Raw genomic sequence first — 27,737 nt, 5'->3', positions numbered from 1 at the left:
AGAAGAACCAATGTACATTTACAGCTTTTCTTATATTAACCTTCTTATTTATCGTTTCTGGTTTTCTTCATTTATTCTTATGAATTTGAGTTACTATATGGAGTTATTTCCTAGCCCAAACACAGATCTGTCCCTATCTTATCTCCTTTTTCCTATTATTGGCAAACATATTACATTTCCACATCTCATAGGCCCAACAATATACTATATACATACTATACAGTACTGCAGTAAAATGCAGTAAATATACTAAGATTTATGGGATACAGCTTAAACAGTTCTTAGGGAACTTTACAGCTATTAAGTGCCTATATAGATACACATGATATATACACAACACAAAAGAGAAAAGGAGAAAATATGCATTTATAGTGTTATTACTACATAATTATTTTTACTGGTGCTCTTAAGATTTTTCATGTGGATTAAAATCATCATGTGGAGTAACTTGCTTTCAGCCTGAAGAACTTCCTTTAGTGTTTCTTGTAAAGTGGGTCTGCCAACAGCAAATTCTCTGAGTTTTTACCTCAGAATGCCTTTACTTCAAGGAACCTTCCGTTTTGAATAATAGCTTTGCTGGACATAGAATTGTTGGTTAACAGTTTTTTTGGTTTAAGTGCTTTGAATATGTTGTCCCACTGGCTTCTTGCCTCCATTTTTTTGCTGAGAAGTTAGCTATAAATCTTATGGGCAGGTTCCCTTGTAAGTTGATGAGTCAGTTATCTCTTGCTGCTCTCTCAAGATTTTTTCCTTGTCTTTTAGCATCTTTATCAAGATACTCCTCTTTGTGGATATCTTTGCATCTATCCTACATGGAGTTCATTGAACTTCCTGGATATATAAATTATTGTTTTTAAATAAATTTGGGATGTTTTTGGACATTATTACTTAAAATTTTTTTTCTAGTCATTTCTCTTTCTCCTCTCCTTTTGATACTCCTATTACAAGCATGTTGGTACACTTAATAGTTTCCCATATTTTTCTGAGCCTGTTTTTTTCTACATTGTTTTTCTTCATGTTCTTTGAGTAATTTCTACTGATCTATCGTCAAGTTCATTAACTCTTTCTTTTGCCAGTTGAAATGTACTGTTGTGCCCTCAAGTGAGTTTTTCATTTCAGTTACTGTGATGTTCCATTCCAGAATTTCCATTTGCTTCTTTTTAAAATGATTTCTATCTCGTTATTAATATTCTCTGTTTCATGTGAAACTATCATCACGCCTTCATTTCTACATGATTTCCTTTAGTTTGCTGAATATATTAATAATAGCTACCTTGAAAGCTCTGTGTTAAACTCAACCAGTCACTCTCACAGGCAGTATCTGTAGCTTGCTTTTTTAACGGGATGTCTGGGTCATATTTTCTTGTTTCTCTGAATGTCTTATAATTTTTGGTTAGAAACTAGATACTTGAGATAATATACAGTACCAACACTAAGTACTGGCCTCCCCACTGCAAGATTTGTTATTGTTGATGCTTGTTTATTGGGTGACTGGCTAGTTGATTTTTGTAGATTCCATTGTCTAGTGTTAAGCCTCTGGAGTTGCTCCTCAGGGAGCTCAGACTTGAGATTGCTCACTGTCACCTTGGGATGAGAGTGGTTTGGGCAGGGCTCTCGCTGATTCTTGGTTTCTCTGACCACAACTAGCTTGTTAAATTACACTAATTGCTGTCTGATTCCTGTAATGATTTCAACAATGCACTACAGTATAAACTGTTCCATAGTCTAAGTCAATCAAACTTGGGTATCTTTGAAGTGAAAGTTCCAGAGGTCAAGGGTTGAGATTTGTTTTGACCCTTGGTGATCTCCTCCCAGCTGTGTCTTTCCCTAGTTTCCTCAGGCAAATGAGCACATCTATAGTCAAGCCTAAATGTCCCATCAATCTACCAATCTTCCCCAATTACCTTTCACCACAACCTCCACTATTTTTTAGAGTAACCTTAGGCTTAAACTTTTCTATACTCTGTCGTGCATGAAGCCCATTCCTTTAAGAAGGCTGCTTTAAGGCCAACTTTTCTCTGAAGGTAAAATCTCTGAGACATGGCTTTGGAGCTGGAAGTAGAGACAATGACACACTGTGTGTCACTGAGTGACACCCCAGGGTTAGTTGCTCTGCCCAAAGTAAAGCCTCTGTCCCAGGAGCAGGGGCTGGGCAGAAAAACAAGGCCCCCAACTCTTAGTCACACTTGGCCAGAAACAGGCATGGGGAAGCAGGATGAGAAATAATGATATCTTGCTCCTGCTTTGGAAGATAGCCCAGAATGGGAGCTGATGGGGGACAGGGATTCTTGTCTTCTTCACTGCACCAATATGGAGAAGAGTTACCATCTCTCTCAGCTGGGATAGGGTAAGGAAAGGGCAGGTCTTGTTACCAATAACAGGTTCTTGCCCCTCTGACCAAATTTTATGAATTTTCTTGAATAAATGTTTTTTCATTTGCTGTATTTCCTTTAAAACACTTTCAGAGACCTTAAATGTTTTATTTTTGTAATTGTCACCAGTTCTGCTGAGGAGTAGAACATGCTGTCATCCTACAAGTCCCTCTTAACCAGTGAGCTTTTAAAAATATAAATTAGATCATGATCCCATTCAAAACTCTCCAAAATTTCCACTCTTTTTTTTTTTTTTTTTTTTGTAAAGCCCCACACTTTCTATTAAGCTCCACAGGGTTCTACACAATCCAGCCCATGCCCACTACTGGATCTCATCCTTTACTGCTTTTTACTTTGTTCACTCTGCTCTAACCCCTGTCCTAGCAAGGGTGGTTCTCCTCATGGTCTATTTGCTGCTCTAACTGGAAAGCTCTTTTCCCAGATTTTTCCATGGCCTTCCTCCTCACTTCATTTGGGCCTCACCTCAAATGTCATCTCAAGACCTTCTCTAAAAAAGCACCTGTCATTCACTCTTATTAATTAATTTTTTTAAGTTTTACTGTTTTTTATTTATTCCTCTATATATTTATGAGTAAGAGTAAGGGTTTTTTCTTTTTTGAGACAGGATCTCACTCTGTCACCCGGGCTGAAGTACAGTGGTGTGATCATGGTTCACTGCAGCCTCCACCTCCTGGCCTCAATCAATCCTCCCACTTAAGCCTCCCAAGTAGTGGGGACTGAAGGTGTGTGCCACCACACCTGGCTAATTTTTTAGACTTTTGTAGAAATGGGGTTTTGCCATGTTCCCCAGGCTGGTCTCCAACTCCTAGGCTCAAGTGATTCATTTGCCAAGGCCTCCCAAAGCGTTGGGATTATAGGTGTGAGCCACAACACCTGGCAAGTTTTCAAAATTTTGACAAAAATTTTTTTTTAAAATTATACTTTAGGTTCTAGGGTACATGTTCACAATGTGCAGGTTTGTTACATATGTATACATGTGCCACACTGGTATGCTGCACCCATTAACTTGTCGTTTACATTAGGTATTTCTCCTAATGCTATCCCTCCCTGCTCCCCCCACCCCACGACAGGCCCCTGTGTGTGATGTTCCCCATCCTGTGTCCAAGTATTCTCATTTTGACAAAAATTTTTAAAAGTCAAGGAACAATCATAACGTTGTTCACTGTTTATCCACATATCCTGTTTTGTTATTCTTCACAGCACCTAAATTTACTTGATATATTTATTTTCTTATTTGCTTAGAGTCTATTTCCCCCATTAGAATTAAAGCTCTACACCTCCCCAAACACACAAGCTCTCAGCCATAGGCAGCTTCTCCACAGCCCCAGCTTCGCACAGGCTCCTGGAGGGCTGCCTGGGGGAGGCAGACATGGGAATGCCAAGGTGGCCAGATGGTTCCAGGACTACAATGTCTTTATTTTTAACTGTTTGCCACTGCTGCCCTCACCCCTGCCCGGCTCTGGAGTACCGTCTGCCCCAGACAAGTGGGAGTGAAATGGGGGTGGGGGGAAGCACTGATTCCCAGTTAGGGGGTGCCTAACTGAGCAGTAGGGATAGAAGGTGTGAACCTGGGAGTGCTTTCATAAATTATTTTCCTTGTAGATTTTATTTTTAATTTATCTCTGTGACCTGCCAGGGAGAGGGGAGAGAGAGAGAGATGCTGTTGAGCACATGACAAAATAAAATAAAATGGATGATTCATTCTTAAAAAAAAAAAAAAAGAATTAAAGCTCTAGAAGGGCAGGGAGTTTTGCCTGTGTTGTTCACCACTATATCCCCAGTACTTAGAACAATAATTGGCATATAGTCATTACTTAGTAAACATTTGTTGCAAGAAAAGATGTTAACAGGAATTAAAACATTTTTAAAGCTACTTATATTTTAAATGACAACTTTAACAGATAATCTGTTTTTATTTATATCAATAAAGAGTAGAACAATAATAGGGCATTGGAAAATAAGTAATAGTGGCTGAGAAATTATAAAAAAAAAAATGGCCAGGTATTTAAAGTTGTTTCAATAATCCTAAAACACATTTTCATAAATAGCATCTTTGACCTGCCAGTGCCCTTACATTATGTAAACCAGGACCAAACAAAACAAGTACTTGTAATTCAATGGAAAAGTGAAAACAATACTAAAATGACAAATGTTTATACTATAACCACTAGTTTTGACACTTAGGGGTATTGAAAAATTTAGGAAAAGCTAATCAGAGTGAAAATCTTTAATCAAATACAAACTTCTCACTAAGTGCAAATAAAATTCTTTAAAGAAAAAGAAGTATATTACTTCCATGTTCTCACTTTCCTCCCATATCTGTTTTCTGTTAAGGCCAAGTTTTGCAATGGGCTTAGAAAAGCTAAGCAAAACAATCTTAGGTTAGGGAGTTTTACCTTGAGTCCTGTTTTCTCATCATCACTTCCATTATTTGTAGATGGTGTCTCATCTCCTTGCCTGGAAACCAAGACAAAATCTTCACTATTAAGAGTAGATACTGAGTCTGAAGAGACACTGATTTTTCCAACAGAAGCCTTGTCATCCATAACTCAAGAATGAGTCTCAACACATGAATGATTAAATATTTTTTAATGCCTGAAAAACAAAAACCATAAAGATACTCATATAGAATGTCTGCCAGATATTCAATTACACTGTACTTCTTACACAACATATTCAGAATTTTTTTTTAAATGCTTCAAAAATATTTTCCTAAGACTTTCACTACTTATAGCTTAGGGTTTTTTTTTATTCCAGATAATAAGGGAATTTCATGCTATTCAAGGCCAAGATATTTCAGACTTCAAAAAAATAAATAAAACATATTCCCTTCAGGATAACCCTAACTACTTACAGTGATTTCTTTGGGCTAAGTTGCAATTCAAGTCTTAGCCTCCAAAAATATATAAGTATTAGCCTTCTGTTTTCTACCCTCTAATTTTTTTTTTTTTTTTTTGAGACGGAGTCTCACTCTGTCGCCCAGGCTGGAGTGCAGTGGCGGGATCTCGGCTCACTGCAAGCCCCACCTCCTGGGTTCACGCCATTCTCCTGCCTCAGCCTCCTGAGTAGCTAGGACTACAGGTGCCTGCCACCACGCCCGGCTAATTTTTTGTATTTTTCGTAGAGACGGGGTTTCACCGTGTTAGCCAGGATGGTCTTGATCTCCTGACCTCGTGATCCGCCGGTCTCGGCCTACCGTCTAATTTTTAAAGTTGTACATGTAAATGAAATGGAAAGCACTTAGTTATTGTGAGGGCACAATAAGGTTTTCCTAGCATTATTGATACTTAAATTTAAAATATTAACATGGTTTTAACAGGCCAAATTTCACATTAACACCCAACAGGAAAAATTCAAGGCAGTTAAACTTTAGCATAAACTCTAGAGCTGGGAAATACCTTACAAAGCAAGAAAGGAGAAGTTCATTAAAAACTGCATCTTCCCACACCACAGTTTCTTAGAACTCAGCTCAATATGAACATTACCCAAATAAGGGTTTCATACCAAAAATTCCCAGCAAAAAGTATAAATATGTGTCACTTATGAAAATTCATTCAATTATTTATTGAGTCTTGGAATGAAACTTAAACTCACCATCATTTTAAAACCTAGTTCTGCAAACTTTGTGGCAATGTTTCATTTGGTTGTCACAACATCAACAAAACGATATAACGTTATACTCATTAACAAAAGTAGCTATGGCTCCATGTTCATCTAGTACCTCAAAGATGTAAGGTTCTAAAAATCTGTTTAATTTCTCTGACTGAGAAGTCCTGATTTATGCTTTGGATTTTTAATCATTGACTATATATTTATGGAGCATACACCATGTGTCAAACACAATTTTCCCCTAAAAGGCCCACATATAAACATCTGGCAGGAGAAACTACACAATCCCTGAGTATTATAGTTGGAAGAAAACTTAGAAATCTAAAATCAAGTTGATGGCAGAGTAAAAAGTAGGAAAAAAAAAACTTACAAATCAATACTGTTAGATAAAGAAATGGCAACCCCAAGAGAAGTAAGGTCATTTAACCAGTTAATGGCACAGCTAAGGCTAGAAGCCTGGACTCTCTGCTGCCTTTTATTTAAACTAATTCCCCTGCTTAACAGCTATTACACATCTGCATTTCATAAGACCAAATCTAAATACATAGTATGGCATTCAAAAACATTTCAAATTGTACTTTTGAAAAATTCAAAGAAAAATGATTCACTTAATCCATTCATTGAATACTTATTGAGTAGATAATGTACAAAGAGTAAGCTATGATAAACAAAAGAAAATAGAACCTTGCCCCAAAGTTTATAGTTTAGTAGAGAACAGAAGCAAATCGTACCTAATAAGTACTGATTTAGGGTAAAGAAAATTATGGGAACATGTTGGGAGAAGGACTAACTTAGACCTTTGCTAAGGAAATACACTTTATTCCTTTAGATATTTGCCCTCACAGGATTCTCTTCCTGAAGTGGTTCCCTCACTTTTGTACTTGATCAACTCCAACTCATCACTCATGATGTAAAAATCTCCCTCTCTTAGTAGTCTTCTCAGTCCACTTGCCCGTTCTCACCCCAGAATCCAAAGAACTGTTGCCCTTATATCTGTTCCTACAGCATTTTACATTTGATTTTTCTACAGCATCTATTATGTTGTTTTATAATTTAATGGTGAGTGCCTTTTAATTTGTCACATCTCTATTTCAAAAATGAGGAAATTAAGTCTTAGAGAGATGGTGTAACTTGTTCAATGTAATGTGGTTAGAGTCAAAGTCAAAAATTAAACCCAGTTATCTGACTCCAAAAGGCTATACTCTTTCCACTCGATTATGAAGCTTTTCTAATGCCACAAATTTGGGCCTTGTCCCAAAACACTCAGTATTGGGTAAAGGAGTCTTTATCTTTTTTTTAGAATTTGTACTTCAAGAGAAGTTTTCATGCTCAATCAATTAAGTCTTTTATCCATCTTTTATAATGTGATTACCAGTTGGATGCCAGAGGGCCTGGGAAAGTGGTCTAAAGCTCTGGTCTCAGACACTAACAACTTTGTATACTACTACTCTGGACTCAAAAACAATGTACTTTGGTAATTACACTAAGGAACTGAGAAGATTTGGCAAGCTCAAAGTTCCACCTACTTTCTTTGAGAAGGTGATAGGAAAATACACTTTATAAAATACTTTATTATTTGTTTTGGCAACTGAAAGTAACTGAATCACTCAGCAGGAATGAGGTTTATCAAAACACTAAGTAGTAAAGGAAAAATTATACAATAAGATTCCTTTTCTCTGGCCTCCATAGACAGAAGTGAAGAGGGAGTAGTCCATCAGCTCCACAAACATAGATAAAACCACCCATTCCCTGGCCTCCACAATGAAGAGGTACCCCAGAACTTGCTGCACTTCTGGCAAAATCTAGAGATTCACAACCTCTGTCTCAAGACCATAAGGGATTTCTTTTTAATCCCTACTTACATCAGTTACCATAAAAAGTCCCTTACTCTAATTCTTCATCCTTCAGACTTTAATTCTAATTCCCATTGACAATAAAGTACCAAAATTCCTCCCTCCAACGCCCTGCACTCCATAGAACCTATAACCGCTTGACATATATTTTGGTAATTTAAGTATAATGTAAACTAGAACCTAAGGTTCATGAGGGCAGGCTTTTTTATGTCTGATTAAGTGTTGGACCCCTAGCACCTGTAATAATGCCTGGCACATAGCAGGTGCTCAACTATTTGTTAAAGAAGTAGGATAAATAGCAAATAAAGATGGAAAAGAGCAAGAGCCACCCAAGGAAAAAGTAAGGCCACCTTTTATAAATTGACAAAAAGAACAGAGGTCATATTTGTGATGCTGAAGCACACAATTAGGAGTTAAGAAATACCTAAGTTAAAATACTGGTTCCGGGCGGGCGCAGTGGCTCACGCCTATAATCCCAGCACTTTGGGAGGTCAAGGCGGGTGGATCACGAGGTCAAGAGATCGAGACCATCCTGGCCAACACAGTGAAACCTCATCTCTACTAAAATATAAAAATTAGCTGGGCATGGTGGCGCACGCCTGTAGTCCCAGCTACTCGGGAGGCTGAGGCAAGAGAATTGCTTGAACCCGGGAGGCAGAGCTTGCAGTGAGCTGAGATTGTGCCATTGCACTCCAGCCTGGCAACAGAGCAAGACTCTGTCTCAAAAAAAAAAAAAAAGATACTGGTTCTACTACTAATAGTATGAGCTTGTCACACTGAGCCTCAGTTTCCATAGAGGTAATGTTATACTATCGATCTCATAGAGCTACTGTATAAATTACTAAGGACTATACATAAAACATTTAACAATACACAAAGAACATTATAAGCGCCCAATAGTTACAGCTTTTCAAAAACTAACTTCAAATTCAAAAAAATTTAACAGTTATTAACTGATTTAAGTAATCCAAATTAAAATACTTATACTATCTCTACTTCTTGGCTTATGTCTACAGTGCCTGTATGAGTTAATTTGATTGTTAGTCGGGAAACACATTACTGAGGAAAAAATAAATAAATTAATTTCCTAATTTCACATTCTAAGTTGTTAATATCTAAATAAAAGCAAAATAGTACTTTGAATAAATATCCTTTATGTATCACAGAAAGGAATAAAATGTACACATTTGTATCTCATTTTATCATCCTAACAATTCTGTAAAACAGATAGAATAAGGATTATTATCCATTTGAAATAAGATACATATGAATAGCCTGGTATTTGGTAGGTAAGCACTCACAGTTTGTCTCCTCCTTTTATAGAAGTGATGAGCCTAGATCCTTATAACAAGTCCAATTACCAACAGGGCAGGTTGGTGGATGCAAGTTCAAGGATGCTTTTACTTTTGAGACAGGGTCTTGCTCTGTCGCCCAGGCTGGAATGTGGTAGTGTGATCCTAGCTCACTGCAGCCTCAAACTCCCGGGCTCAGGTGATCCTCCTACCTCCACCTCCTGAGTAGCTAGGACCACAAGTGTGTGCCACCATGCCCAGGTAATTTTTTAAAAAAATTTATCAGCCAGGCACAGTGACTCACATCTGTAATCCCAGCACTTTGGGAGGCCGAGGCGGGCAGATCACGAGATCAGGAGATCAAGACCATCCTGGCTAACACGGTGAAACCCCGTCTCTACTCAAAATACAAAAAAGAAAAAAAAATTAGCCAGGCATGGGGGCAGGCGCCTGTAGTCCCAGCTACTCGGGAGGCTGAGGCAGAAGAATGGCATGAACCCAGGAGGCGGAGCTTGCAGTGAGCCAATATCGCACCACTGCACTCCAGCCTGGGCGACAGAGCGAGACTCTGTCTCAAAAAATAAAAATAAAAAAAATAAAAAATTTAAAAAAAAATTCTCAGCCACCCAAAGTGCTGGGATTACAGGCATAAACTGCCGTACCCAGCCTTACCTCTCTTTTAAAAAAGTCAAGTCACTTGAGGTGACAGACAATTATGTTCACTTATACAGCCTCTTCCATCACACCTAAAAGTTCAATTATGCTTTATTTTCATTATAGCTACTCTTTCACTACTTTTATTCTTACAGAGACATTAAAGATCACTACAGATTTTTATTGCAAATTAGTCCCGTATACCAAAACTCCATGAACTTTTTGCCTACAGTCACTGCTCTGTGCCGTAAGTGCCAATTCTATGCTCAATTATGTACCCCAGCATAAAATGCATCTCCATATTGCTAAATAAAGATTCACAATTAGCCAGGAGCAGTGGCTCATGCCTATTATCCCAAAAACTTGAGAGGCTGAGGTGGGAGGGTCGCTTGAGGCCAAGATTTCAAGACCAGCCTGGGCAATATAGTTACATCCCATCTCTAAAATAAGATATTTAAAAATTAGTCAAGTGTGGTGGTGTGTGCCTGTAGTGCCAGCTACTTGGGAGGCTGAGCCAGAGGACTGCTTGAGTCCAGGGGTTCTAGGCTGCAGTGAACTATGATGGAGACACTGCGCTCCAGCCTAAGTGACAGAGTGAGACCCCATCTCAAAAAAAAAAAAAAATTCACATTCATTCTCAATCTCCTCTTAAGCACTGTAGTTAACAGAGTGAAATGGAAAGAACTGGCCATGATAAAACCTCTTTTAAGAGTCCTTCAAAGGCAGTCGGTTCTTGAACAATCAGTGTTTACTTTTTTAAAAACTTCAACTTTTTTTTTTTTTGAGACAGAGTACTATCAGATATTTGTATTGTTTCTAGTTAACTAACATCTGAGAAGTAACAGTGACATGCAGTGGCATGGATTTGCTAATGTGCAATTAGCAGAGGCAAAACCACCTCCCAGTAAGTGACCTACCTAGCTTAATAAGAGGTGTGGGTGATACTAATAATTGAACCTGACATGCTTGAGACAAAATGTGCTAGTGCCTCATCCAAAGCTTGGTTAACCTTTATTTCTTTGGTTTTCTTGAGATTTTCTTCTTGAAAGAGTAGTATTAATGCCTCCACCTCTACCACTTCAATGGAACTCCCCACTGTTCTAAACAGTCCCTCTCAAAAATACCACCCCGTTACTTCTCACTTTCACTGAACCCCTTAAAAACCATCAATACTACAAAATTTCACAACCCAAAGAATTATTTCTTACTTCCACCTGCTGAAGTAAATGAAAATGCTGGCCATTTTCTTATTCTGAAACTCTTATCCTTTTGCATCCATTTCCTACCACTATCTTTTCTTAGTTCTGATTTAGGTTCCTTTTCTTCTATTTTTAAAATCACATCATCGTCCTTCTTTTCACTGGCTATCTCATTAGCTAACATGGTTACAGCTTTCTATTGTATGCTGATAACACTAGCACTGTCTTTTCTCTTGAATTCCACATGGGTATTTGTGTTATATTTTCTTTTTCTTCTATTCAGTATCAAAGAGTCTGATATGTGCCAGACACCAGGTATAGAATTATGGTGAGGAATAAAAGACACTCCTTACCTTTGACAGGCTTACAGTGGTAGAGAAAACAGACCAGTAAACAGGTAATTATAATATAGTGCTTGTTATAACAGAGGTGTGTAAAGGGTGTTATGAGAATACACAGCAGGGCTCTACTATATGCGTCCTATGGTCATCTCAAAACCAATTCCTTGCAAAACTAAACCATTTAATCCCCACGCGTCAGCAGATTCTTCTTTCTAGATTCTCTATCCTGGTTAACAGCCACAGATTCAAAACAACATCAAAAAAAAAAAAAAAAAAAAAAGAAAGAAAAAGAAAAAGAAAAAAAAGACACCAAACCAAAACAAATCTTGACTCCTCCTTTTCTCACCCTCCCTTGGAATAATGGATTTTAGTTCTAAAACATATCCCAAATATATTCCTTCTTCACTATCCCTCATGTCATTGACTTGTATTTTATTCTCTTTCAACCTGGCTATAACAAGTGTTTCATTCTAGACTCTTCCTAGTCATTGATTATTTAGCCCCCAAAGTTAATTTCTAAAACTTAGATCTGATCATATATCCCATACCTCCCCTTTCCTCAAAACTATTTATTGCTCCTGACTGAAAATACAATAAAATCCAAAATCCTTGTATTATTTAGTTCTTCAAAATCTGGAGCCAATTTCCATTCTAGTCTTATCTTCTTCTGTCACACCATACTATATACACAAATATGTCATGCATTTTAATGCTTTCAAGCCTTTTCATATGCTGCTTGCTCAGCTGGGAATGTGTTTTTGTTTCCGCAATCAGCCTTTCTCCACCAACAGCAACCTAGTGGATACAATCAAGTATTCAACCTCCCCCTTTCCCTTCTGCAGTGTTATTGTCTTCTAGGGCTCCTCAGGCTTTTTGTTTTTTAGTTCATCACAGAATTATAGCATTTACCACACAGTAAAATAATATCAACACTTTTTTTTTTTCCTTTTTTTTTTTTTTTTTTGAGACAGAGTCTTGCTTTGTCACCCAGGCTGGATGCAGTGGTATGATCTTGGCTCACTGCAACCTCTGCCTCCAGAGTTCAAGCGATTCTCCTGCCTCAGCCTCCTGAATAGCTGGGATTACAGGCATGCACCACCACGCCCAGCTAATTTTTGTTTTTGTTTTGTTATTGTTGTTTTTGAGATGGAGTTTCACTCTTGTTGCCCAGGTTGGAGTGCAATGGCATGATCTCAGCTCACTGTAACCTCCGCCTCCCAGGTTCAAGCGATTTTCCTGCCTCAGGCTCCCAAGTAGCTGGGAATTACAGGTGCCCGCCACCACGCCTGGCTAATTTTTATATTTTTAGCACAGACGGGGTTTCGCCATGTTGGCCAGGCTGGTCTCAAACTCCTGACCTCGGGTAATCCACCCACCTAGGCCTCCCAAAGTGCTGGGATTACAGGTGTGAGCCACCGCAGCCAGCCGTAATTTTTGTATTTTTAGTAGAGATGAAGTTTCACCATGTTGACCAAGCTGGTCTCAAACTCCTGACCTCAAATGATCCACCTGCCTCAGCCTCCCCAAGTGCTGGGATTACAAGCGTGAGCCACCGCACCTAGCCCAACGCTTCTTTTCTACTCCGCTATATTGATCAATCCATTCATTCCAGAAGCAATTACTGAGTATAAACCACCATGTCAAATGCTGGGAGTATAACGGGCACAAAGAGTCCCCCAAACTACTTGTGGACAGGGGTCTTATGTTTTACTCGTAGTAATTTCATTTCCTTACTTACGGGCAGTGTTCAATAAATTTGGTTGGTTGAATATACTTCATGGCTGTTTAACTAGTAGGGTCTAAGTAATATGAGGAAAACAAATGACAAACATGCTACTCTACATGCATGTACTGGGGATGTGGACATGGATGAAGACTAAACTCTTCATCAAATCCCCAACTGTCATGATCAAAAAACAGTTAACACAGTCACAAAAAATATACCTTGGGTTCCCTTTGGACCAAACACTAACCACTTCCCTCCCAATCCCCATCATTTTTGTTGCTCAACCAGTGAAAAAATGGGTACAGCTTTAGGGAATCTTAAGCAAGATGACTAAATCATCTTGCTAAATCAAAAGAGAAAACAATACTTATTACTTCTTGAGTGTCAATTATATGCCCAACATGGTACGAACAAGTTTTACTTGCATTATTACTAATCTTCACACCTTGCCAGATGGGTATTAAGTTCATATGACAGACAAACTAAGGCTTGGGCAGGCTGAGTAACTCGCTTAAGTTCAGAGAGAAAATTGTGGAACTTGATCCAAACCCAAGTATCTAGGTGTCTCTGTTCTTTTCTGGATTGCATCTCTCTCCCTCTCGATGTCCCTATCTCCATCCTCTCCCAATTCCAATCCATCCTCTATGCTGCTCCCAGTTGTACCCTTCTAAAACACAAATCTGGTGAGTTTACTCTCTGTTTAGAAAAAGAACAAGACAGGATGCAACAAAAGAATCAAGTCTGAAAGATGCTGTAGCAGGATAATTCCTGTGGGTTTGTAGCTCTTTAAAATTAAACAAGCAGGGTACAAAGAAGCTATAAAAAATCACATTGCATTAGTTTCAGTTTGTGTGTGTGTGTGTGTGTGTGTGTGTGTGTGTGTGTGTGTTTTCCTGGCTCTGAACTTTGTTTCACTGCACTGGTTTTCACATGAATTTCACACAGCCTATCCCTGGAAAGGGTGGGACAAATCAAACAAAACTCAATGGAACACCATCCCTTCTTTATAAAAATAAATTCCTTTCCACCACTACTAACTGCTAAACAATAGATGTCTTTGTTTTCATTCTGACTCTGAATTTTGAGACTATTTCTTTGAATTATTTTAGTGAGCTAAGAGAATCATAATAATTTAAGCTTTCTGATTAATTTCAGGTTACGTTAAAAAACCAAAACCAAAACCAAAAGAATCAAAACAATCATCTTGGGCCTACCTGCACTTAAAGGCAAGAAAAACTAGCTTATCTAAAACTCACGCTTAGGCAAATTTGAGCCTACCGTAACTGTGACAATTTACTTCTTTAAACTATTAAATCACTTTTAGTTCAATTCTACATTAACTAAAAAAGATATCGGAATTAAACAAATACAGGAAATTGTAAAACAAAATAAAACTTTAAAACATCTTTTTTATAAGTTGTAATCTTTTTGCATTGTGATTAAGTAATAACACAAACATTACCATCTTAGCCACGGAAGTGTACAATTTTGTGTCATTAAATACATTTACATTGTCATGCAACCATCACCATCATCTATCCTTGGAACATTTCCTTTCTTAACTCTGTGCCCATTAACACTAATTCCCTATTCTCTTCCTCCTCCAAAAACCACTATTCTACTTTCCATCTCTAAGAAATTGACTACTCTAGGTGTATCATATAAGCAGTGGAATTACACAATATTTATCATTTCATAACTGGTTTATTTCATTTAGTATAAGTCTTCAAGGTTTATTCATATTGTAGCATGTGTCACAATTTCCCTAAGGCTGAATAATATTTCAATGTATGTATGCCACATTTATCCTTCAATAAAAGTAAGTTTCAAAATAATTATAACTTTATAGGGTCTTTAGGGGGGATATCAGGTGTTTTCCATTACAGTTCCATGAGGTAGATGTAAGTAGCTCCATGTTTAAAAATGGAGTTTCTGAGGATAAGCTACTTAATCACTCCTTCTCAGAGACTTGGGATATCCATGTCTTTCTCACCCCAAAGTTCATACTCTCCCCACTATATCTTGATACTTCATACTTCTAATGAAAGGTACAAGAGGTAACAAGTAGGGATGAAATGTGCATAAAACAGAGTTCATTTAACTCTGTTAATTATGAGTGTGATAATGCTGACACCTGAAAAAAATCTTGCCAATGGTTTTCTCATGTTCCCATGGATATTTCAGGAAACACACTTTAATTTTTTCCAGAACTCTACATATGCTGGCTTAATGCCATTTCAACACAATATCTGTGAAACTAAATATTTAAATTGTTATTTGGATTCCACGTCCACAATAGAAGCTATCCCTGGGAACACAGGGAAAGTCAGCTTAATGTTAATGTACTACTCATTCACAAGGTCAGATTATATTCCTGACTTGCTAGTACAGATTTTAAAAACTGTTCAGATTTCTACAGTATAATTTACATTAGCATTTAATAAATGTAAAAATATGAGTATTTTTAAGCAACGCAGGGTTAGTCAAAGACTTTTCCTCTTTTTAGGAAATTAGTCAATATAGTTCCTTCTCATCTACAATAAAGAAAATGAATCTATTCCACTTAGAATATGCATCTGTTTACATTCAGATCTAAAATGTATTATTCACTTCTCTTTAATCTACATGAATTTAAAACTCAGCAGGCAAATCATTCAACAGATGATCAAAGTCTAAGATAAATGCAGAAATATAATTTGTCTTTTCTATGACCTGTTTGATTTTCAGGGGAATGCATGTAGGCAAACCATGAATGTTTGGCAGAAGATACGTGTTTTCTGTGCCTTCCAGTATGCTATCTCGTATTATCCTTCATGATAGTTAAAATATACTCCCAAAGCTGGTCCAAAGACAGTGAGTTATCTCGATTGTTCAGTCAGTTACAGAACAAACTCCTTGTTCTACTCTTTTCCCCGTTCTCACTACTGCACTTTAGTAGTCTTAAAAAATAAAATATATTCCCAAAGGATTCTGCATATCATTTCCTTAACTGATAAAAGATCATCCTCAGAAAATGGAAAACAAAATTATAAACCATAGGTTGTTGGTTAGTTACCAAAATGCATAAATAAGGGAAAAAGGGAGAAAGTTTTAAAACAGTCAAATTGTTGTTAAAGTTTGACTTAGTAACATTATGTTAAAGTTACCACAGAAACTCACTTGCTAATGTACCTTCAGAAATGCCAGATTTAGGTACAGAGAAAAATTTATTTCCACAAAGACTTACAGAACCCAAGGAGTAGTAGTTTATAACACAAATGCTGATGCAACCTTAACAGGAAATACATAACAACTATGCATTAATTCTTGGAGAGGTACACAATTAAGAAGATATATTTCTCATACTTTACAACCAAGATAATACATACATACTATTTAATGTCAGGCAGGAGCTTAAAAGTAGGTTTAGGGCTTTATTTCACTGTATAGTGATCAGAAAAAGGGATTTAGGGGGAAAAGTCTGATAGAAAACAATCTTCAAAAAATTCTCACTGAGTACCTCAGAATATTATGGTTGATTTGGAAAGAGGAGGGAAACTTTCAGGCCACATTGTATAAACTAATGTGTTCAAGACTTGCACACTTCCATATTTGGTCAGTCTGCACATGAAGAGAAACAAGGCTGTTAGGGTCAACGTGAATGGTTACAATGTAAGCTTAAACGTCTATCCAATATTGTTACAAAGTTTCTAAAGAATAATGATCTCAGGATCAACACAAAACAGAGGGGTGAGGGTGGTTGGGATGACTAGGTAACCAGTTTATGCTAAAAAAAAAAAAAAAAGCAACAGCTATGATGTATACATGGTGTTTTTCCAGGCATACTCACGGGCATTAAGTCCTGAGCCTTGAATTTTTTTTCAGTGGGATCTAACTATGTAAACTCAGTAAAACAAGGTAACTACATACAAAGCACCAAAATGTCATGCCAAATTCTGCTTTACGTACCTTAAATGAGCACTTCTTAAATATTTGAGTTCTATCTCCAAGAAACATTATTTAACAAACTATAGGAACGATCCCTGAAGTATAGTCTTGCTAAGAAAGATTATTTAGGCCGGGCGCGGTGGCTTTCTCTTGTAATCCTATCATTTTGGGAGGCCGAGGCAGGTGGATTACCTGAGGTCAGGAGTTCGAGACCAGCCTGGCCAACATAGTGAAAACCCGTCTCTACTAAAAATAAAAAAAAAAAAATTATCTGGGTGTGGTGGTGCGCGCCTGTAGTCCCAGCTACTCGGGAAGCTGAGGCAGGAGAACCTCTTAAACCCGGAAGGCGGAGGTTGCAGTGAGCCGAGATCACGCCACTGCACTCCAGCCTGGGAGGATGCAGTGAGCTGATATCGTGCCGCCACACTCCAGCCTGGGCGACAGAGTGAGACTCCGTTTCAAAAGAAGAAAAAAAAAAGAAACAAACAAAGATTATTTAAGAGTGTTGTCACGTTGGGAGGCCAGAGTGGGAGGATTGCTTGAGGCCAGGTGTTTGATAACAGCTTGGGCCACACAGTGAAACCCAGTCTCTACAAACAATAGCAAAATTCACTGGGTGTGGTCGCATGTGCCTGCAGTCCTAGCTACTTGGGAGGCTGAAGCAGGAGGATCACTGGTGCCCAGAAGTTCAAGGTTGAGGTGAGCTACGACAGCACTACTGCACTCCAGCCTGGGAAAGAGAACAAAACCCTATCTCTTTTAAAAAAAAAAAAAAGTGTGTTGTATTCATTTATTCCACATGCTTGAGAAGTCTACTGATACCTGATTATATTGAAATTACAAAGATAACATTATGGGCAGCCTATGTCAGAACCTTAGCAAACCAGTGTTTTTACAAAGATACTCACCTGTAGCACCAATTTAAACTATTTTCTGAAAACTGTATTCAAAAATTCCTTGTTAAAACTACTGGGAAATAATGAGACCTCCAAAGGAGGCTTTCCTTTAGCTGGAAATATACTGAATAAAAAACAAAAACTTCTTTTTTTTTTGAGACGGAGTCTCACTCTGTCGCCCAGGCTGGAGTGCAGTGGTGCGATCTTGGCTCACTGCAAGCTCCGCCTCCCGGGTTCACGCCATTCTCCTGCCTCAGCCTCCCGAGTAGCTGGGACTACAGGCACCTGCCACCACGCCTGGCTAATTTTTTGTATTTTTAGTAGAGACGGGGTTTCACAGTGTTAGCCAGGATGGTCTCGATCTCCTGACCTTGTTATCCGCCTGCCTTGGCCTCCCAAAGTGCTGGGATTACAGGCGTGAGCCACCGCGCCCAGCCAACAGACTTCTTTAAAAGAAGCTGGGCTACAAAGTTCAGTTAATAAATTGTGTGGAAAACCATGCCCCTCATGTAGATAAAGTGCATAATACAGTTCTCTCAATATGCAGCAGAAAAGGTAGGAAACAGGTGTCTCTGTTCCCACTACATTACTACAACTCTTATAAACTGCAAACAAAATACTATGCCAAAAATGCCAAAATGCACATAGCTGATAGGTTAACTTTCCAAACAAATATATACCTATTAATGTCAATGCGTTAACTGTAAACTGAATCATAACACTCAATTAAAAGAAAGTGTGGCCGGGCGCAGTGGCTCACGCCTGTAATCCCTGCACTTTGGGAGGCTGAGGCAGGTGGATCACCTGAGGTCAGGAGTTCAAGACCAGCCTGGCCAACATGATGAAACCCCGTCTCTAGTAAAAATACAAAAAATTAGCTAGGCGTGGTGGCACACGCCTGTAATCCCAAGCTGAGTCAGGAGAATCAGTTCCTTGAACCCAGGAGGCGGAGGTTGCAGTGAGCCAAGATCACTCCAGCCTGGGCAACAAGAGCACAACTCAGTCTCAAAAAAAAAAAAAAAAAAAAAAAAAAAAAGAAAGTGCACCACAACATGACTATATCTCAGATTTTTTGTTGTTTTTTTATTTTTTATTTTTTGATGGGAACTGGCTGTGTTACCCAGGCTAGAGTGCAGTGGCACCCATCATAGCTTACTGCAGTCTTGAACTTCTCAACTCAAGTAGTCCTCCCACCTCAGACTCCCAAAGTGTTGGGATTACAAGCATGAATCACCTCACGCCACAAATATTTCAACTTTAATTATGAATCTGAGTTAATATCTTGAATTAAAATTACATATGAATTTTAAATGTTACCAATACATAAAAATCAATCATGGATTGAAATTTTATTAATACAAAGTGAACTCTACACAGGAAGATTTATAAAGACTTCTCTTCCCTATTTTGTTTTTTTGTGTTTTTTTTTTTTTTTTTTTGAGACGGAGTCTCGCTCTGTTGCTCAGACTGGAGTGCAATGGCACAATATCGGCCCACTGCAACCTCTGCCTCCCGGGTTCAAGCGATTCTGTTGCCTCAGCCTCCCGATTAGCTGGGACTACAGGCGCCTGCCACTACGCCCGTCTAATTTTTGTATTTTCAGTAGAGACCTGGTTTCACCATATTGGACAGGCTGGTCTCGAACTCCTGACCTTGTGATCCACCCGCCTCAACCTCCTAAAATGCTGGATCACAGGCGTGAACGCACCCGGCCCCTATTTTCAGTTTTCATAAGTAAGCTCTAGTTAAGTCTTCAATACATATTAAATAGCACCTTATACAAACTTGAACTAAGGCAACACGTCCTTCGTTTAAAAAAAAGTTGGATGAACCCTCCTTAGTACCTAAGCTTTTTTTCCCAACTACTTTTCAAACATCAGTTTAATGTTACAAACACAATTCCATTCACCTTCCGTTGTTTTTTTGTTTTGTTTTGTTTTGTTTTTTGTTTCCGAAACAAAAACAGCTGGAAACTCACTTATTGTGTACTTACTACTCCAGGCACACGTTTGTAAATACATGTGAATGGAAATATAAAAGGAATTGTGAAACCCTGTCCCTAACAGGTTTTTTTCCCTGACAAAAAGCCAACGAAAGTCAAAAGACCTCAAATTCAAGTTGGAACATGATTTAAAACTAACGGAGCACTAGTAGCGGGAACACTAGCAGCATGATCACTTAACACGGTCTCCTAGGACATTTGTTTCCAAAAAAGAATTCTCGAGTAACCAAAGGTATGCAGATGCGTGAAACGCAGGAGCAGATGATAAACAGTCTGGATGCAGAAGAGCAGAGACCAAAGTACTACCAGGCAATGGACAGCGAACTCCTGGAAGTCTTGAGGTTATCCTTTGGCTCAACACGTAAAACCCTAAGGGTGCGGATAATCAAAAGACACAGCGATGAGGTACTGGGGTAGCTGCTTCAAGGAGATGAGAAGACTGGGATGCCAAGAACGCTTTAATTGCAGACGGGGAAATGAGACTGAAAGACCAACCTGAGATGGCAAAGCGACAGTGAAAACTAGCAAGTCTTTGAAATTTAGGCGCAGCCCAGGACAGCCTGAGGCCCAGGCTAGCTTAAGTCACAGATACAGGCCTAGTGAGCAATGGGGAGAAACTGAGGCGGGGGGGAGCGGCTGGATTCCCAAATAGGACCAAGCATAAAACATTAAAGTCAAGACACAAACCGGCTTTGCTGGGGGACCAGAGGGAGGGCCAAAAACGCAAGACTCAGAAGACCGGCACCCACACAGACAGGGGGAACCGGTTTGGGCAGGGGCTCCCAGAGCGGCCCAGCCTGCGCATGCGCCCTCTCCCCTCCGTCGCAGTTCCCCCTCCCCCCAATCACGGCTCCCCTCAGAACTCGGCCCGTCGAGGGAGCTGAGAGCAGCTCCACTGGCCCGACCCCGCGGGATGAGAAGACAGCTTGGCTCCCCGCAGGGGCCGTCGGAAAATACCCCTGGGGTTGGTAGGTAGGAGGGTGGGAGGAGGAGGAGGGGAAACACGGCCCTACCCGACCTGCCGTCTCCTCCTCCGCCGCCCGCCGCTCGCCGTCCCGGAGGCTCCGCCGCCTGGGCCTCCCAAACCGCCCTGTCCCCGCCCCCCCACCCCTTTACTCACGTGAGAGCGACTTCTTCCGCCCTCCGCCCCGCCCCCTGCCCCGTCTCATAGGTCTGCGACCATGACGAGCGACCCTATTGGCCCAATACCGGGAAGCGAGGCGGAGCTTCCTCTTCTCCGAGCCCCACCTGGGCTTTCAGCCCGCCTCAGGACTGTGCGCCTGCGCGAAGTGCACTGGCTGTGAGCTGGACCTGGGCTGTCTTGTGTATTTGGAGTTGGACAGCCAACTACGTGACTGCAGCCGGGACTGGGGACGATGGAAGCGGACTGGGTAGTACCTGTTGAGCCTAACAAAGGGTACAACCCCAGAGTACTGGTGCTTGAGCAAGGAATCCCCCTGCTCACCTTTCATGTGCAAGTCCTGTTTGAAAATCAGTACTTCACAGTGTAATAAAATTCACCTGGCATTTACTGAGGGCGCACGGTGTGTCAGGGATTGTGATGGTTCTTTATGTGGCTATCTCATTTCAGCTTCACCACAAACCCGTCAGAATGGTACCATTTTTCTCCTTTTATAAAGTAATTTAGCTTTAGTTACAGAATCCAGTCTAGAAGTCAAAACTTCCGACTGCCAAGTCCTAAAACCACTGGTACAACACAGCTGCCTAAAGGCATTTAAGGCACACAAGAGGACAGAAATGGACAAGGTTACATCAGATTGTGACTCAAAGATGAGATTTTTATTTAAAAATCATTCAAAGGTGAAACACAGCAACAGCAATATAATGAAGTTTAAAGTCCCTGTCCTCAATGAATGTACAATGCAGTTGGGAACAAAAACAATGATTATTAAAGTGCTAGTTAAGTCTTATTTTTAAAGAGACCCTATCTTGTCCAGGATGCAGTGCTGTGGCTATTCACAGACGATCATATCACACTCCACCCTCGAACTCCTGGGCTCAAGCTATCCTACCACCTCAGCCTCCTGAGTAGCTGGGACTGTACATAGGCATGCACCACTGCACCTGGCTCATAAGACTTGATAATTTATAAAATAATTCTACAGCCTCTTCCTTACTCTTCCCCTTTATTTATTCCAACTGGCATATGCTCTTTTCCTGGTGAGTGAGTCGTCTACAGTGTTTTCTGGTGGATAATGCATCCCGATCAACCAGAGAAAAAACAGTGAGAAAAATCTGTGTTCTGTTGCAATCCCTCTGTGATTTGTCTAATACAATAGATGTGGGTGTACCCCTGCAGAAAAATAGTTTCGCTTCCTTTCTCCTTATACAGTTACAAAATATCCATTTCAAGATATTCAAAGAATAAAGTATTAGGGAGAAAGTAAAATCCCCTGAACTCCCAACAAAACCACTTTTAACGTTTTGGTGCCCATACTTTCATGTATTTCTTGATTCATGGACACCCCAAATATTTATGTAAATCTTAACATACATTTTTAAATAAAATTGTACTACACAATCAGTACAACATGCTTTGGAGAATAGACACAAGCTAAAACAACAACAAAAAAAGAAAACATTGCATTTAAAAAAAATTTTTTTTAATAAAAAAGGCCAGGTGTGGTGGCTCATGCCTGTAATTTTAACACTTTGGGAGGCTGAGGTGGGAGGATGGCTTGAGCCTAGGAGTTCGAGACCAGCCTGGGCAACATAGTGAGACCGTGTCTCTATGTTTTAATGAAAAACAAAAAAAAACCATGGCATTCCCAGGGCCAATGTTAATACTTTAGAGTATATCCTTCTGTGTGTGTGTATTTTTTTTTTCAAAATGAGATCACTTTAGTCATCTCCTTTTTCAATTAAAAATATCTACCTTATTTCAGTACATTTTCTTCTCACCTAATTCCTAGATCACATTCACATTTTCTATCCATCTAAAGTTATTTTTACAGTTGGCTTTCTTAACTCAGTAATGTTACAGGAAAATTTCCTCTCACATAATACCTAACTACAATCAAATATTCTGTTGACCAAATTATATTTTTCTACAACCAGTATACCCAAATTATCCAATTCAGGACCATACATTCCATCTGGTTACATCCCTTGACTTTTTAATTATGGCACTTAAAAAAAAATTAAAAGATTCTTGTTCACTGTAGAAATCAGGCCACTTGAAGTGCAAAATGTTTTTATCTGAGTGGTTGCTTCCTCATGAAGTCATTGAGCTTGTTCCTGCAAGCCTTGTATTTCTTGAACAAGAAAGTTATATTTGAAGACTCAGTGGATTCAAGTCAAACATATCAGACTAGTATACCTCACAAGTGACAGGTTATACTTCATGTTTCATTATATTACATACAACGTTATGAATCTAACATGTTAGATATTATGTTAGATACATAACATTGTATCTACAATAGATATAACATTTATTGTATCTTACAGAGTTATGCTAATATTGACCACTGGATTAGTGATGACATACATGTTGTTTTTATCATCTAATCCATTTTAAAAATAGACTATAGTCTGTTTCAATGCCTACCAATGCTATATATTGATATCCCATTCACAGAAAATGAATTTTGGTTTCCAAATATGCTCAACTTTTTTTCAGTAAGTGACTTTGTACCCAAGAAAATGTGGTTACAGTATATGAATGGAATGTGGGGCTGGTGTGAAATAAAGCAATGTAGTAGGCTGGAGCCAAAATAGGAAGGTCCTTGAATGCTAAAATAAGGAAACTGAAGTTCACTCTATAGACACACGGGTGCCCTTGGATATTTTAAAGGACAGTGACAATATTAGATTTGGGGTTTTTTTAAAGATCACTCTAGTAAAACTAGAGCAGGGAAAAGGGGAGGTTGATAGAATAGTTTGGAGGCTGCCTAAGATGAGGAAGGCTTGAGCTAAGGAAGCAGGAGGTAAAACGAAGGAACAGGGTTCCGCGGGTATTTTACAAAGAAATATATTCAAATTTGCTGGTTCTTTCTTCTGCTCATTCAAATCTGTTTTTGAACCCCTCTATGTAAATTTTTCATTTCAGTTACTGTATCTTTCAGGTCTAGAATTTCATTTCAGCTCCTTTTTTTTCTAAGAGTCTCGCTCTGTCACCCAGGCTGGAGTGCAGTGGTGCAATCTGGGTGCACTGCAACCTCCACCTCCTGGGTTCAAGTGATTCTCCTGCCTTACCCTCCTGAGTAGCTGGGAACACAGGCATGCCACCACACCCAGCTAGTTCTTGTATTTTTAGTAGAGATGAGGTTTCACCATGTTGGCCAGGCTGGTCTCGAACTCCTGACCTCATGATCCACGAGCCTTGGCCTCCCAAAGTGCTGGGATTACCGGCATGAGCCATCACACCTGGCCTCAGCTCCTTTTTATAATTTCTCTTTAATGATAGTCTAATTTTATTCATACATTGTTTTCCTGACTTTGTTCATGTCTTCCTTTAGTCCTTTTTCTGTTTGTTTGTTTTTTTTTGGAGATAGAGTCTCACTCTGTCACCCAGGCTGGAGAGCAGTGGCAGGAACTCAACTCACTGCAAACTCCGCCTCCCAGGTTCAAGCAATTCTCCTCCCTCAGCCTCCTGAAAAGCTGAGATTACAGGCGTACGCCACCATGCCCAGCTAATTTTTGTATTTAGTAGAGACAGGGTTTCACCATGTTGGCCAGGCTGGTCTCGAACTCCTGACCTCAGGTGATCTGCCCACCTTGGCTTCCCAAAGCGCTGGGATTACAGGCGTGAGCCACCCCACGCCCAGCCCTGTTAGTTCTTCGAACGACTTCAAAATAGTTGTTTTAAAGCCTTTGTCTATTAACTCAGACATCTATCTTGGCTTCTGTGGGAATAGTTTGAGTTGATTTATTTTGTTCTTCTGAATTGACCATACTTTCCTGTTTATTTGTATGTCTTGTGATTTTTTTAAAAATTTTATTTTTCAACTAGAGATGGGGTCTCACTATGTTGCCCAGTAACAACCAATTAAGTGGGACTACAACCACATGCCACCACATTTGGCTTCACTTTAAATCCTTATGATTTGTTGTTGTTGAAAATTGAACATTTGAATCTCATAATGTGGTGAATCTGAAAATAAGATTCTCCTGCCCCCATGTTTGCTGGGCTTTTGTAATTGTCTCTGTGCTGGGGATCAGGATCAGCCTCGGGTGAAAGCTTAAGGTTTTCTCAGGTCTTTTCTTAGCCTGTGTCTTTCCCTGGTTATATGCAGTAGCTTTCTACTTTCCCCTGCCTAAGTGATTGCTTTTGAATATCCTAATCCTTCAATATCTGACTCATAAATGGAGTAAAAGGGAAGCAAACAAACAAAACAGGTGCTATTCTTTTAAAACCCTTGGAAAGAGGTTCAGCTGGTGGGGGGTCAAAACAGTGGCAACCTGCCTCTGCACCTGCACTTCAGTCATCAACAACCAGAGTGTCGACAGCCAGTATTTGGAGGACAAAGTTCGTATCGCCCACCCAGCCTCCAGCAAGCCGCACCAGGAATGTGGATACAGCTGCGTGCTACAGGGTTAAGTAACACTGCATGAGTAGCTGGTATCACACTAAAGCTGACAGAGACTGAAATTAACCTCTATTTACCAGCCCAGCTTTCCCTTGGAAGATGTAAGCATTCGAATAGACTCCAGAGTTCCAACATAGTTACTTCAGAGAGTTGCTGCTGGTAGAACTGTTGTCTAGGTGGAGAGGTGGATTCCTTTTGACTCCTACTCCATCTGAAGAATAGGAAGAAAAAAGAATGAAGAAAAGTGAACAGTAAATAAAGCCTAAGGGACCCTGTGGGATACCATCAGTAGGACAAACATAATGAATTGTGGGAGTTCCAAAGGAGAAGAAAGGGCAGAAATAATATTGCAAGAAATCATGGTCAAAACTCTCCAAACTCTATTAACAACATGATATACAAATCCAAGAAGCTTATCAGACTCCTGATAGGAAATACTAAGAAACCACCAAATATATTATAATTAAGCTGTGAAAAGCCAAAAAAAAAGAGAATCCTGAAAGCAGCCAGAGATGAGCAACTTGTCCCATACAAAGGATTGCAATAAGATTATCACCCAATAAAGAATCCTCAGAGGCTCGAAAGAAAGAAAAAAAAAACTGTCATGGAAAAATCTATATCTGGCAAAATTGTTCTTCAAAAATGAGGGTGAAGTTAAGACATTCCCTGATAAAGACAAGCCAAGGGAGTTCGTTACCACCAGCATTCCTGCCCTTCAAGAAATGCTAAAGAGAAACCGACATTTTGAAGTGCAAGTACACTCAATAGTAACTCAAAGCCATACAGAGAAACAAAGATCTCTAGTAAGTCAAATACACTGGCAACTATAAAAGCAATTATTATAATTATGATTTGTAACTCCACTTTTTATTTTCTCTGATTTAAAAGTGAAATGCATAAAAAATATTTATGTTGTCTGGGCGTGGTGGCTCATGTCTGTAATCCCAGCATTTTGGGAGGCCGAGGTGGGTGGATCACCTGAGGTCAGAAGTTTGAGACCAGCCTGACCAATATTGGTGAAACTCCATCTCTACTAAGAATAGAAACAAATTAGCTGGGCGTGGTGGTGGGTGCCTATAATCCCAGCTACTCGGGAGGCTGAGGCAGGAGAATCAATTGAACCCGGGAGGCAGAGGTTGCAGTGAGCTGAGATTGCACCATTGCACTCCAGCCTGGGTGACAGAGCGAGACTGTCTCAAAAAAAAAAATTATGTTATTGGATATACAATGTATAAAATGTTATCTGTGACATCAGTAACAGAAAGGAAAGGGCAGAGCTTTACATGAGCAGAGTTTTTGTATGATATTGAAGTTAATTGGTATCAATTCAAATTAGATTGTTATAACTTTTGGATGTTGAGTGTAATACCTATGGTAACCACCAATAAAATATCTATAGAATATACACAAAAGGAAATGAGAGGGGAATCAAACGTTTCATGATAAAAAAATCAACTAACACTAACACAAAAAAGCAGTAATGGCAGAAATGAAGATTTAAAAAGCATATAAAACACAAATAGAGAAGTGACAGATATAAATCCCACCTTATCAATAATTACTTTAAATCTAAATGGTTTAAACTCTCCAATCTAAAGACAGAAAGGAGTCAAGGTTAAACTCTCCAATCTAAAGACAGAAAGGAGTCAAGTCCGGGCACAGTGGCTCATGCCTATAATCCCAGCACTCTGGAAGGTCAACGCAGGCGGATTGCTTGATGGGACCGCATGCCTGTGGTCCCAGCTACTCTGGAGGCTGAGAAAGAGAATCGCTTCAACCCATGAGACAGAGACTGCGGTGAGCCAAGACTGCGCCACTGCACTCCAGCCTGGGCAACAGAGTGAGACTCTGTCTCAAAAAATAAAATAAAATAAAATAAAATAAAGGCGTCAAGTGTGGTGTTGCACACCTGTAGTCCCAGCTACTTTGAGAGGCTGAGGCGAGAAGACCACTTGAGCTCAGGAGTTCCAGCTTCAGTGAGCTGTGATCATGCCACTACAATCCAGCCTGGGCAACAGAGTGAGACCCTGTCTCTAAAAATATATTTAATTTTTAAAAAGAAAGGGAAAATTAATTTTAAACACACACACACAATCCACATGCTCCAACTAAATGCTGTCTACAAGAGAATCACTTGACATCCAAAGACACAAATAGATTGAAAATAAAAGGTTAGAGGCCGGGCGTGGTGGCTCACGCCTGTAATCCCAGCACTTTGGGAGGCTGAGGTGGGCGGATCATGAGGTCAGGAGATCGAGACCATCCTAGCTAACATGGTGAAACCCTGTCTCTA

The 27,737-nt window shown here is 39.5% G+C and overlaps 1 protein-coding gene, 1 long non-coding RNA gene and 1 pseudogene across 16 annotated transcripts in view, besides 5 other annotated features; 2 read left to right on the top strand and 1 right to left on the bottom strand.

Annotated features, from left to right (window-relative positions):
- RABGAP1 (RAB GTPase activating protein 1) overlaps positions 1–27,737 on the bottom strand; it is a 173,196-nt gene that overhangs the window by 142,868 nt on the left and 2,591 nt on the right. For 5 of the 15 annotated variants that reach the window (XR_007061269.1, NM_012197.4, XM_024447475.2 and 2 more), the window contains exons 1-2: positions 20,906–20,979; positions 4,790–4,988 (exon numbers count right to left, since the gene is read on the bottom strand). Coding sequence is in view for 12 of the 15 variants with exons in the window: in NM_012197.4 (NP_036329.3) it covers positions 4,790–4,939 (150 nt within the window). In the remaining 3 variants the exon portion in view is untranslated. Of the gene's footprint in view, positions 1–4,789; positions 4,989–16,566; positions 16,668–20,905; positions 20,980–25,521; positions 25,656–27,737 lie in introns of those variants that run through there. The other 10 variants (XM_017014568.2, XM_047423135.1, XM_047423130.1 and 7 more) reach the window with 7 other exon arrangements.
- Positions 15,905–16,011, top strand: RNY1P15 (RNY1 pseudogene 15; annotated as a pseudogene).
- Positions 20,456–21,180: an enhancer, noted in NCBI's record as "H3K27ac hESC enhancer chr9:125703098-125703822 (GRCh37/hg19 assembly coordinates)". NCBI's record gives its function as "activates a minimal SCP1, AML or CMV promoter by ChIP-STARR-seq in primed H9 embryonic stem cells {active_cell/tissue: H9 hESC(primed)}" and the evidence as "EXISTENCE:reporter gene assay evidence [ECO:0000049][PMID:30033119]".
- Positions 20,456–21,209: a biological region, named in NCBI's record as "H3K27ac hESC enhancer GRCh37_chr9:125703098-125703822".
- Positions 20,710–21,039: a silencer, noted in NCBI's record as "silent region_20246". NCBI's record gives its function as "represses an Ori minimal core promoter by ATAC-STARR-seq in GM12878 lymphoblastoid cells {active_cell/tissue: GM12878}" and the evidence as "EXISTENCE:reporter gene assay evidence [ECO:0000049][PMID:35858748]".
- Positions 20,751–21,423, top strand: LOC105379839 (uncharacterized). Its single transcript, XR_001746924.3, has 2 exons — positions 20,751–20,860; positions 21,064–21,423. It is a non-coding gene; the product is annotated as an uncharacterized LOC105379839 (long non-coding RNA).
- Positions 21,050–21,209: a silencer, noted in NCBI's record as "silent region_20245". NCBI's record gives its function as "represses an Ori minimal core promoter by ATAC-STARR-seq in GM12878 lymphoblastoid cells {active_cell/tissue: GM12878}" and the evidence as "EXISTENCE:reporter gene assay evidence [ECO:0000049][PMID:35858748]".
- Positions 21,370–21,439: an enhancer, noted in NCBI's record as "active region_28931". NCBI's record gives its function as "activates an Ori minimal core promoter by ATAC-STARR-seq in GM12878 lymphoblastoid cells {active_cell/tissue: GM12878}" and the evidence as "EXISTENCE:reporter gene assay evidence [ECO:0000049][PMID:35858748]".

This window comes from Homo sapiens, chromosome 9 (assembly GCF_000001405.40).
Source record: "Homo sapiens chromosome 9, GRCh38.p14 Primary Assembly".
In the NCBI taxonomy this organism is placed as follows: Eukaryota; Metazoa; Chordata; class Mammalia; order Primates; family Hominidae; genus Homo; species Homo sapiens.
Note: the sequence above shows the minus strand (reverse complement) of the source record. Positions and strands in the feature narration are given on the sequence as shown.